General features: G+C 38.6%; 1 protein-coding gene and 1 pseudogene across 13 annotated transcripts in view; both read right to left on the bottom strand.

Moving 5' to 3' along the window:
* The window catches only part of BICC1 (BicC family RNA binding protein 1), a 319216-nt gene that overhangs the window by 103821 nt on the left and 201692 nt on the right, over nucleotides 1-13703 (bottom strand). The gene's annotated exons all lie outside the window — the stretch shown is intronic.
* Nucleotides 10081-12600, bottom strand: FAM133CP (family with sequence similarity 133 member C, pseudogene; annotated as a pseudogene). Its single transcript, NR_027508.1, has one exon. The product of NR_027508.1 is annotated as a family with sequence similarity 133 member C, pseudogene (transcript).

Below are 13703 nucleotides of genomic sequence, written 5' to 3'. Positions count from 1 at the left end.
CACCCCACCCCACCTTTTTTTTGTTGTTGAGACAGCATCTTGCTCTGTTACCCAGGCTGGAGAACAGTGGCATGATCTTGGCTCACTGTAGCCTCAGTCTCCCGAGCTTAAGTGATTCCCCTGCCTCAGCCTCCCAAGTAGCTGGGACTGCAGGCACACACTACCACACTCTGCTAATTTCTATATTTTTAGTAGAAATGGGGTTGCACCATGGTACACAGGCTGGTCTCGAACTCCTGGGCTCAAGTGATCTGCCCACCTCAGCCTCCCAAAGTACTGGGACTATAGGCATGAGCCATTGTGCGCAGCCTGAAAACCATTTTTTAACTTAACAATCTGGTTACAGACTTTGGATACATATGCACTAAGTTTTCTCAAAGAGAATTAAATGAATAAAATAAAGAATTTAAATCATATATATATTATTTTCTTACTGTCCCCTAGAAAATTCCATTTTCTATGGTATAGTTTTCTTTGTAAAGAAAAGAGCAACACTAAATTCTATCATTTTTTAAAGGCCAATGTTAACATTAGTGAGACAAAGTTACAAAGCTCTGTAAAATAAGCATCTATACTTACTTTTTAATCAACTCCTTACATTTCTAAAGCAACTTCATGTTTCCTCAATCTTCCATCCACCTATATACCCCTCCTCCTCCTGGACTCAAAAGTCTGCCAAATTCTAGGAGGAAAAAGTTCCATTTTGTACAACAACAGTCTATACGTCTGAATTTCACTGTGGTAAACTTCCTCCTTTGTATGTAGATTAAAAGATATTTCCCATCAACTGTGTATTCAACCTTAAGAAGTGACTGCAGAACATTCCATAGTAACAGATATATTTTTAAGATGATCACACACAAAAATGGGCACAGATCAATTCCAGTCACTCCCAAATAAAACACAACCAGCTGATTTCTTTTCAGTATGTAAGTAACAGACACAGGATGGATGGAGGCCTAACAGCTGTCTCCTATTTGTGCATGACATATAATAGCAACATTACCTGTTGAAATCAGAAAGACTTAACAATTAAAGTGCTTAAAAATATACATGTGATACTTGAGTATACAACGGCAGTGCCAGGGTCCTATTCTAGAAGCTCTAAGCACTGTGAAGATGATGGGTTGCCCAGATGGATGAACTGTAGGTGCAAATCCCAGCCAAAGAACCTACAAGTTAATGGAAACATATGAAGTTCCTTTAACTTCTCTAAGCCTGTTCTCGACTTTGAGATGCGATGCTCATCTCATTGAATAGCTATTCAGAAGAATGAGATAAATTATAAGACATGTAAAATCCAACAGCTGACTAGGTGAGTGTTCAATAAATTATGTAATTTTCACTATTATTATTATTATTAAAACTGGTTAAATGATTAAATCCATTGTGGGTAGTCTTATCTGAATGAAAATGCACATGCTTATCTGGTCTCATTTTTAACTTTTCCCATTCAAGCTTGCAAACAATTTTAAATGACAAGGGAAGAGTTAGTCAGATGATTGAATTTGCAGTCTAATTAAAATTACATTGCAAAAGCAATAGATTCTAATCCCTTGTGGATATAAGAAATACAGCAGAGAAATTTTTTAACAGCTAGCTAAATTTTATAAGTGAAATAGCCTTAACAATCAACATTAAAGTTGGTCTCCAAGTTCCCCAATTGTAAAGGAAACTTTATAAAGTGTGCAACCATTCCCCACAAAGCTGTTAAGAAACATTAACCAAAAGAATAAGGCAATTTTTTAAGAACTTACTTCATCATAAAAAAATTATTCCCTTTTCCCTGAAAACATGATTCTAGAAAACCATCAGCCTCTGGGATGTCTCCCTCAGACACTGCTGGTAGTAATACTAGCATTCCAGGTTGTTTAACATGGCCTGAGGTGGCCAGGAAGTCATCTTGGATGAGATGAGGATCCACAGGCTCACCATCTGAAAAATTCAAGAAGACTAGCAAGTAAACCATGTGGATTTGTTTGCAAAATAAGCAAACCCACAGACAAAAACACATGCTGTGTAATTACAAAAATACACATTTCTGCCTTCTGATATGGTATGTTCACTCTAGCGGTGAAATACAGTTCCGCGTTGCTCCTCTCCCCTCTTAAAAATATGTGAAGGACAGGACAACTTCACAAACAAGGATGGAGACTAGATGATCCATACTTGAAAGAAGCACAATGAGGACCACAGTCAAGACAGAGGTAGAGAGAAAATTTGGTATTTTAAAATGTTTGCTGAATTACATCTGGGCAGAGTCTGCAGTTGGGAATTGTAGTAGGGCAGGGACGGCAAGGAAGTGGAAGTCACAGATGGAACGATCAGGCTAAGTAAAACCTCACTGCATCCTTACACATTTAAGAGTCTGCCACAAATGTACATGTCTTGCATGATCGATATTTGCAACAATGTGCTCCAAAAGGAAATAACATGCATTCTGTGCATGTTATTATGCCAGTAATACATAATAACATGCACAGAACAGGAAAGTAAGCCACACGTTAAACAAGGCAGAAATGTCTAGATAAAAGTCTCCCAAAATCAACCCCCACAAAATTGCCATAGGAGACTCCAGATTCCTGCTGCAAATGGGGAGGTAGGTATATCAGTTTACATCTGCACCAGACAGGTGTCTAACCTCAAATGAGACACTGGGCTGCCAAGGGAGGGAATAGACAGCCACGACTGGCAATGAGATCCTCAGGAACTCTATCTGCTTTCATCTCTTCAACTTCCTTCTTACCCAGACTCCACCATGATGAGTAATCGGAGGTGCAAGGAAAATAGAGACCTGAAGGTGCAGCGCCTGTTTCAACAGGACCGGGGCAACCGGGGCTCTGGACAGATGTGTTCTGGTGACTGCCAGTCTGTAAGCCAGTGTCCCCATCTTGAAGTCACCAACTGAACCTGCAACTGGTTCAGGAGCTGCTGACAGGGCAAGTAGGGCTAAGCATAACTACTGGGGCAGAGCCAAAAGCCAGGAACAGAGTGAAATGGCTGGAAGAATGAAGAACATTCCTTATGACTCCAAGGAATCCTGTACATAGTCCTGGGATGGCACAGGTCACAACTTTTAATGTTCTGGAGCTGAAAGATGACCCAGTTGTTCATTGGAGTGGGCTGGGAAAAGCAGTCAGGGAGAGGGTCAGATCAATTCTAACCAGCACTTAAGTATTTGTATATGTGCAAAATTACACACACACACACATACACACATATACACACACACACAGACACAGAGTTCTTTCATCCAATCATCCAATTGAATTTCTCTGAGAATAGTTTGATTTCCCCCTTTGTAAAGAGCCATGAGATTATATAATAACTACAGATTATGTAACTAGGAAGTTATTAAGTGCTTAGATTATGTAACATCTAAGAATCATGGATGCATTTATTTTCTTTCAACCTATGATGTAATTCTCACTGGAGAACATGCATAAGTTATGAGGTGTTTGGACATGTAACATTTCAAAACTGGCTAGCAAAAGCACTGATCGGCTGTTTCATAAGGCATTCTTCCATACATGAAATTCAATTACTTTGAACTGAACATTAGCTTGGCTGCTCAAAGTCTTAAAGTCACATAGAATCTCACAAACTCATCATGTTGACACTAACTGTTTCCATCTTACTTGGTTGTAATTCATTAACAAGTTTCTTTTTGCTTGTTTAAAGAATCTAATTTAATTTTGCTAGACAACACTCCTAAAGATGCTGAGAATTGCCAAATTGTGAGAGTAATTACACATTAGCAACCCATAAGCCCAGCTGTAAATTGCACTTTATCACAATCCAGACCACTCAACCTCTTAAGATTTTTAAGCTATCATTCCTTCTGTGGCTACAGCCTCCTACCAACACAATCTTGAATGTCCTCAACCCCACAGGCAACAAGCTAGAGAACACATAATAAGTTTTCTAGCTTATTATGACTCCAGCCCCTGCCCTCTCTAGCCTTCCTGCTGGCTTGAAATTCTCTCTGTGCCATCACAACCTTCAGCTGAACATTTCATCTTTTTATCAAACACTCCAAAATCCCCAGTCCTCAGGCTTTCTGCCATACCCGTCTCACCAAAGATAACCCCTCTCTGCTTTCTCCACTTTTGAGTGACCAAAGAACTAGAAAAAGGCATAGAACTATCCTAAGAAACTCAACAAGTTCATACCATGCAGCCTCAGCTGGATATTCAGTTCATCTTGGCAAGTTTTTAATTTTTTTCCATGCATTTTCCATAAGCAGCTGTTCTGAACACTCCCCAGTGTCTTCGAGTCTCTAATCCATCCCCTTATTCTCCCAGGAGATGACTTTATCTCCAAACAGACTGAGGAAAGTAGAGGGAATTTACACTGAATTTTCTCCAGTTTACATCAAATACATTATAATTTTTATTTGTCTCACTCCCTTCTTCCCAAACTCAGGAAAATATGTTCAAATTAGTTTTAATAAATATTTATTGAGGATCTGCTAAAAGCTAAGCATTTTATTGGGCATGTGTCTGGCAGAATCAACAGTTTTCATCATTAAGTCTGAGACCATACCTAGCAGAACTGAAGACTAGAAACCAGAAATTGAAATCAGTTATTTCAATAAAATGAGCAAAGTGTCAGTGGAAGAATTCACAAAGTGAGGTGAACAAGCCCAAAACTAGTTAACCACAGCCTTAACACCTGTTACCTTAAATCTACCCCTGCAAGGGGTCGCTCCAGGTTAAACACCACCCTCTAATTTCCTCTATTGTCAATCTACACTTCCTCAGTCTAGAAGCTCACTCAAATAAGCTTCCTTTATTCTTAAAGGAAACAAAAACAAAACTATAAAATAAACTTATTTCACCTCAACCCACTGATGCACCAAGAAACTACCCTATCTATTACCATCTTCTTTCATAGGTAGGTATCCTTAAGTATTAGTTGCTACTTCTTCCTTTTCTGATCATTGTCCTCTAGATTATTATTTCTAAAAGTGCTCTCTCAGAGATAACTAACGTGATCATGGCCTAATTTTATTTTCCTGTATATGAGGTTTGCTAACCACGGAGGTGAATATTTTCTGATTAAAAAATACATGTTCCTAAGAATTCAAATGTTTTATTATTTTATTACTTAATTCATGTGATTGATGAGAATACTGTAAAGTGATTATATGGATTCTCCAAAATTTATTAAATACTAAACAAACAATATGTGTTCTCCCAACTTATTTTAGTAGAATTAAGAATCTCTAAATAATAGACAACAGGAGAAAAAAAATCAATAAACACTATTCCTTCTCCGCTAGAATAAGGTTCAAAATAGATCACAGGGCTAAGGAAAGCCAGGGCTTCATTTCCTAAGAGAATGTAATGGATAGGACCACCCCAGTGCAGGCATCTTTTCAGTGACGCATCTGTTCCAATTGCTGAAGAACTCAGGTATGACTGCTCATGGAAACCGGATGGATTCACTGCTTCCTTTACTTATGAGCAATTTTCTTGCCATTAGTCTATTAAACTCCATCAAGTGCTGAGTGTTCAAAGATCTGGATGCAAATGTGATCATGAAGAATCATAGGAAAAGAATGAAATTCTAAAGCTCATTACTGTCAAGTAAATATTTCAGAATCCCCATGGAGCATACTTAACAACTATATTGTTAGTAACGGAAATATTTTTCCTAACTTGGCTCAAGTCATTAACCATGACTTTCAGGAGAGTACAAGCTGACAGAAACAATCATATGGCTGGGTCCTTTCCCTTGTGATCAATCATCAATGCTCCTTAACCTGGCAGGAGCCACATCATAGTTGCCAATAGCCTGAGAATCTTAAACCACCTGGATGACTTCCAGGTGAAGGAGCTCAGGGATCCTGCCCTGCTTACGTGCTGAAAATTATTTTTCCTGACTTGCTAAAATCATGGATTTCTAGACCCTCTCTTTCTTCTTGCTCCTCCCCATGGCATATATTTTTCTTCTTGTTGACAACAATCTAATGTGCCTGGAAACTGCTTCAAGTGCCTATGTTCCACTTGAGATCACTGTAATACTTTTGCAGATGGTTTGGAGCATATTTTTTTTCCTCAAAACAAGCCACGAATTCTAAAGCATTTTGCCATATTCCTGCACTGATATATAAAATACACTTGAGATGACTGTAGTCATTTTTTCACTAGACAGCAGTCATTAATTAACCTGGGAAAGAATCCCAATTCCATTTTTCCATGGCATAATAATTAACCCAATTATCCAAGATACCCATCTTAGTTTGGGTTCCCCCAAAAGTCACCTTGAGATAAGAACTTGGGTTGGTTAGTCTGGCATAGTGAACTGGGGAGGTGATCCCAGGGAGCATAAGTTAGGAAGTGAGGAAAGCCTGACTGGGGAGAGAGAAAAACCATGGAAGGGGGTGGTATGCCACATTCCTGCTGGGGGTCAATGTCCCTAGGATGTTCTGAAAAGACATAAATAATGTGCTTCAGAATTGTCCCACGAAGAGAAGGGGAAAATGGGCATTTGTGTTCTGACTCCAGCCCTTCACTGAGTAAAGGTTATACTTCGAGGCTGCTCTGCAGCAAGAGTAAATTTCCACAGGGCTGACAATGTGCTCCGGTAGAGAAGCACAGATCAGGCCCTTGAGATGGAAAGCTGTTGGCATGCATGGGAGATGTCCACTGTGGGTGAACTCACAGGTGGGCCAAGACCATATCAAAAGCATCTGCTACAGCAGCCCACCACCCAATTCCTTGCTCTTATCAAGTTACCATGTCCTGCTGACTCATCTTTCAAAAAAGACTCTCTGATCCTCCTGTCATCAAATACGACCTACTATACTCATCTTTCAGTATTTTAACCCCTTCCTACTAATTATCTCCTGTGTCCACCCCGAACCCCGGGATTTTCACTGTCTGTAGATGAGTTCTCACAAGGTCACCGGCTGTCACCGATCTCCTCTACCTGTCCAACCTTATTGGCCACCAAGTCTTCAAATACTTTCCCTTTCAAAAAATAGTCTCCTCTCTTCCTGTAACACATAATGATTCTCCCCAGCTCTCAGCCTTTCCCACACAGAATGCCCCAGCCCTTTGAGATCCACACTAGAAATTATCAATACTTAAGGAATATTTTCCTTAGCTGTGACTTGCACTCTTCTCCTCTACTCTAGTCTTGACAGCAAACAATGCCACTTTAAAGGTTTATTTAAAGCAAGTAGGGCCAGAATCCCCAGGCAAACTCTAAGTATCCAAAGGGCAGAGACTGAGATAAATGTTTCTTTCTTAAATTACTCCAACACTCACTCTAGTGCCCACTAATCAAAGACCACCAGGAACACTCTTGTAGTAAATAAATTGAGCTTTCATTCACTTACGACAGCAAGAAAGAGTACACCAAAGTAACTGGAGAATTTTAAGAAACTGGTGGATACTTAGGATACTATTTCAGTTTGTTTTGGGTGATTCCAAGAAAGGTTTAAGAAACTAAAGGCCAGGTTTGGACTGGGAGCTGTCAGGAGGTAGGGACAATTCACTGATTATCTTGGCAAATTTAATCTAGAAAGCAGAGGATTAAAGCTGAGTTGGAGTCATCATCGGTAAAGAAGCAGCAATCATTCATGTCAGTCATAAGAGAGGGATGTTTAATTACTTTTGTAGTTGGAAAGGGTCCTTTCTCAGTCTTGTTTCAGACATACTCAAGAAGTAGGCTTGTCTGATTATTTATATTCTGCAAGAGGTATTTATGTTCAGTTGGGAACATTATGTGGCCTGTCAGCTGCCAGGGCCATTTTTTACTTTCTCAAAAGTTATTCAAAAGATAACAGAATAACTTAAATAACTGTTGAATTAACTTCAAATTTATCCTAAATCTAATGATAATGTAAACTTTAACTCATAATTTATCACTCCAACTTTCTGGCAGGCACTGCGCACATGGAAAGGAATAAGACATACTGGTCTTTGACATAGGTCCATGAGCTCAAAGTCCAAAGAAAAGGCAAATGTCTAGGCTGATGCAATACAAGCATGAAAAGTGCCCAAATGAGGCGGAGCTTGCAGTGAGCCGAGATCCCGCCACTGCACTCCAGCCTGGGCGACAGAGCGAGACTCCGTCTCAAAAAAAAAAAAGAAAAGTGCCCAAATGTAAGCATGAATAAGGTGCTGAGCTGGTGCAAGAAAGAGAGTGTTAGGCTCCATCTGGAGGTGTGTGTGAAGCTTTCCAGGAAGACATGCCACCTGGGATGGATGTGTGAGGATGAGTAGGAGTTGGCCAGTTGGAAAAGGGAGGATGGAGGATGCCCTTCCATAGCAGACACAACCCAGGTGTAAAGTAGCATAATGAGTTGAGGAACAAAATATAAATCAATGTTGCTGGAAAAACTTTATTCAAAGCACTCAAAAATATTTCCAAGATATTTTTTAATATAAGGTGCTATTTTGGCACCTCTGAAGTTGCACAGCACAGAAGGTGAATTTTGTTCTCAGTTAATTAAACTGAGTGTTAAAGAGAAAGTAAACCATACCAAAAATTAAATACTTTTACATATGGATACCATTCTAGAAATGGAGACAAAGTAGAAATGGAATATGAGCCAATTCAAAATAACATACTGAAGTTTATATGTCCTCCTTCCCTTGAATATAATGGATTAGAAAAAATTCAGAAATTTTACCCTAAAATTAGAATTCAAATCCCAACACATAGAAATAAAACCAAACAACTTATTGTATCATCTTTCTGTTACACCAAGAAAACTCAGAAATTCAATGACTATTGTATAATACAGTAAGTAATTCTCATATCAGGGCAAACATGCACGCACACACACATACCCATAAGCACGCGGGCGTGCGCACGCGCGCACGCGCGCGCGCACACACACACACACACACACACATTTCCATGCTATTAATATTGAGGACCTAGTCTTTAGATAATTTATTTTGGAAATCCAATGGCCTTAATGTTAATACATACTTTCCTATAGTCCTTCAAAAATTAACACATTATTAGTATTTAAGGTCAATTCATTTCATTCTAGTTTGATATAGAAATTATCCATCAATTACTTGTAAATAAGCATTGGTGGCGAGGAGGGAACAGTTTGGGCAAGACAAACAATAGAAAAAACAATTTAAAAGTCTAATTTTACCAGGAAAAAAAAGATGAACAAGTGCTACAGTCTGAATGTTTATATGCCCACAAAATTCCTATGTTGAAACCTACCCCCAATGCTGACAGTATTAAGAGGTGGAGACTTTGGAAGGTGATTAAGTCATAAGGGCTGCATCCTCCTAAATAGCATTAGTGCCCTTATAAAAGTGATGTGAGGGAGGTTTTTTGCCCCTTCTACCATGTGAAGACATAGAAGGTGCCACCTATGAGGAACAGGCCCTGACACCAAATCTGCCAGCACCTTGATCTTGCACTTCCCAGTCTCCAGAACTGGAAGCAATAAATTTCTGTTGTTTACAAATTACTCAGGCTAAGGTATTTTGGTATAGTAGCCAAAATGAACTAAGACAACAACTCACTAACATAGGGAAAGAATATGAATAAACCAACAAAAGGGAAGGGCAAACAATTCACAGAGTGATATAAATAAGTGTTCCACAAACAGATTAAACAATGCTCAACTTTTCTATTAAGAAAGTGCATATGACAACATGAGGTTTTTTTTGTTTTTTTGTTGTTGTTTTTTTTTTCCACCATTTAGATTGGCCTAGGACAGGAAAGCACAGTATTGGCAAAGAGGAGCAAGAACAATTGTTTCTCTTTCCAGAATCCAGCCCCTGCCTAGTAGGAGTTCAAGAGTCATTTGGAAGGACAAGGTGACAATCCTAAAAAATATTAAAGTTACTCATATCCTGTGACCTAAAAATTCTACTTTTAAGAATTTACGCAACATAAAAAATGTGTAAAAGTAGGCAACTAAATTTGAAATTCATTGTAGACAAAAGAGAAAACAACCCAATGTCATCAAATCTGTTGAAATGTATATTATAGCCATATCCTACATATACATGCAATGGTATTTCATGCAGCTACAAAAATAATGGTATTACTGTTTACGTGCTTATATAGAAGAAGTTCTCTGCTTATTTTTTTAACTCTTATTTAAACTTAACTTGTCATACTTTGTTATTAATATACAAAGACAATAAACTTTTAAAACATTACATTTACTAAGATTCTGGCAATAAGACACAGCATACCAGGCTTGCCACTCAACTTGTTATTGTAAGTCTCAGCTTCAATATGAAGCTGTTTTTTTTTTTTTTTAATCAAAACCCTGCTTTTTACATGCTAAATATCTTGGCAAGTACGCCATTAAACATAGTAATGAACTTAAGACAGCAAGAGTGAGGAGTTAACAAAAGCTAAACATTGTAGCCTAAACAAAATTCATACAAAAAAATAAACTATCACTGGTTACATAAAATTTTCCTGACTGGTTAAAACTTAGTATAAAACATGCATTTTAGAATCTTTAGCTATCAAGTTCGAAAAGTACCAGTGTCTATTTAAAATAATTCCTCTCCCAAGCCAAAGTGTAGTAAAAATTAATTCAAATGACCTAACACATTCTAATGCTAAAAAATATTCATTATTACTGAAGTGGAGGTAAATCCCAGAGCTTTTGGGGCTTTCTCATGCTGCAAATGGCTGTTTCTCTGGTTCACTCAAAGCAGCATATGACAGCATCCAAGGATGACACTAAGCTCAGTAAAGGGCAAGACTGCTGGTAGCCAGCTCTGACCTCCCCGTGAAGTATGGCTACTGTGTTCATAATACAGGATGTGTGAGGATCAAAGGCACACTATTCTGCTAGCTAAAGAGATAGCAAACCACCCCCCCAACCCTAAAAGCTCCTTCCCCAGGTAAATAAAAGTATACGAGGGGAAAAAAATTAAACTACACTTATCTTACAGAGTAAGGGTTTTGAAATATTAATGTAATCCCTCCTTCAAAAATTTTAACTAGAGTCATCTGGTCATTTCTGATTACATCTTAAAGATGTATCCAGATTCAATTTCTGTTGGTTTATCCTTAGACATTTCTAGTCAAAAGTATTAATTTTATTCCCAAATATCTTAACCACTAGTATGACTGCAGTGTATTATCTCCCAGAGTTATCAAGCACTGGAAGAGAAAAAAATAGATGTTCAAGCAGCAGGCAACATTTATGGCCCTTTCACACAGTAGCATCTGAGTGGCTACTGAATAGTCCAGGAATAATTCTAAAAACAAGAAAATTCATGCATGTTAGTAAATATGTTGTAGTTTTCACAGTTGAAATTTCCTCAGACATTGCACTTTCTTTATAAGGGAATCCTGATTTTTCTTAATGTTATGGTGAGTCAGGACTTGAACTAACAGCCTTTTCTTCTTACTGTGTTTCTTATGCTTCTTATTCTTTTTTGTTTTTTCTGTTGCTTTTTCTCGTTCTTCACTGCTTTTCTTCTTTTTTGCTCGCACCTCCTCAATATACTCTGATTCTTACAAGGACTCAGATGATAAAGGTTTATCTTCAGAATACATCTTTCTCTTTTTGCTGAGTCCTTTAATATCCTTTTCTTTCTCAGTTCCATCTTTTGACTTCTTTTTCTTTTTTAAACTATCCTTACTGTCTGATTCAGTTTCTGACATGGAGCTTTCAGAAGATTTATGTGAACGGTTCTTCTTTTTCTTTCTTCATTTTCCTTGTTTCTTATCCTCATCTTCAGAATCAGAAGAATTGCTGGAAGAATCAGAGCTTGATGAAGAAGATGAATACCTATCAGATTTCTTCTTTTCTTTTTTCTTTCTCTGTCTTTTTTTTGGATGAGCTCTCACTTGCAGTTAACAATTTCTCCCTGTGTTTTTCCAGTTCTTTCTTCCAGTTCTCATTCATTTTTTCTTCAAATTCAGCCAAAGCCTTGGAACCTTTCTTTTTCTTTTCTAGTTGCTCTTTTACTTCTTCCCAGGTAGGCCTTGGTCAATTCAGATAATCCTGTATTGTTGGCCCTGAAGACTGGATTGGACCCCTTGATCTCGCCATTGCTATTGGGTGCATATAGGCCACCCGATTGTCCCGCTTCCCCATGGTGCTGGACTGAGCACACAGTGGCACGCCGAGGGAAACCAGGCCAGAGAGATGGCCGAAGAGGGCCTGCCACAGGTCCTCTTGCCGCCTCCCCACTCTGCTCTGCTTATTTTTTAAGAAGAAAAATCCAATGGTAGAAATGTGTGTGTAGAATAAGCCCATTTTAATTAATGAGTTAATACATAACTATTTGCATAGATCACAGAGCCAAAAACACGCATATGCTGTGTTCTCATTTTATTTTTATTTCAGGCAGAATTTATTTTGCTTAAGAGTAATTTCTGGCAACAAGATATAAAGGGAATGTAACTCCTCATTCCTGAAATCTCTCCAATATCTTTTGATAAAAATGTCAGTACCAAGGTTGCATACAAATGTAATAATAAACCACAAGCCACACTTTAATGGCATAAAAAGGACTTTTAAAAAACCAAGATGTCGTTTATTCTCCCTCCTAATTATTATTTTTAATCTTTTTTTTTTTTTGAGACAGAGTCTTGCTCTGTTGCCCAGGCTGCAGTGCAGTGGTTAGATCTTGGCTCACTCCACCTCCCGGGTTCAAGCAATTCTCCTGCCTCAGCCTCCTGAGTAGCTGGGATTACAGGCGTGTGCCACCATGCCTGGCTAATTATCGAGTCAGATAATCCTGTATTGTTGCCACTATCTTTTTTTTTTTTTTTTTAGCTAATGAGAAATGCCACACAGTGTCTTCAATATTGTTTACAACTGCAAATTGCCTTCATGAAAATAATTTAATTGCTCCTGAGAGGCCTGATAGATGTCCCTGAATTCTGTCCAGCCATGCCATGACTGACAGAACAGAGAAACCAGGAAAAGGTCACACACGGTTTGAGAAACCATCAAAATGTGGTGTCCATCTCCTGGCCAAGACAGGAATTTACAGCACCATTGTGGTGTTCAAAAACTGTCAGAAACCTTAGGAATTGTCACAGTTACCACAACTACACATTCCAGCAAAGAGGAATGGAAGACAGAGGCAACATGAACCAGGAGGGTAGAAGGTCTGTCCCCCAGCACTGAAGCAGGCACAAAGGCATAACGTGAAACACTCATGGAGAATAAACAAACAGTTTAAATTGCACAATTAAACTATAAAATTCAACACTGACTGCAAACTGGCTTTTAAAATGTGTAGACCTATCACCCTACTATGTTTTATCTCTTTTACCAAAATTCTGTCAGTTCACCTATTTTGTTACATAGGTATTTTCTCCCTTCTGTAGTCAGACTAAACTATATTCTAATGCCAATGCTACAAAAAGGGAAGCCAGGTAATTGAAGCACCAGGCTGCATGAAATGTTCTAACGGGAATCCAGTGCTATGAAGACACTATGGATTCTAATGGGAATCCAGTGCTATGCTATCCTGATAATAAGCCCACACCTCTAGTTCAGCATTTCTCAACCTTGAGCTACTGGCGTTTTGTGCTAGATAATTTTGTGTTGAGGCGGCTGTCTTCTGCAGGGTAGGATGTTTAGCAGCGGCCCTCGGCTCTACCCTCTAGATGCCAGTAGCACCCTCTCCCAGCTGTAACAATGAAAAATGTCTCCAGATATTGCCAAATGATCCCTGTGGAATAAAATCACCTCAGGTGGAGAACCACCATTCCAGAAGAAAGTT

This window comes from Homo sapiens, chromosome 10 (genome assembly GCF_000001405.40).
Source record: "Homo sapiens chromosome 10, GRCh38.p14 Primary Assembly".
NCBI lineage: Eukaryota > Metazoa > Chordata > Mammalia > Primates > Hominidae > Homo > Homo sapiens.
Note: the sequence above shows the minus strand (reverse complement) of the source record. Positions and strands in the feature narration are given on the sequence as shown.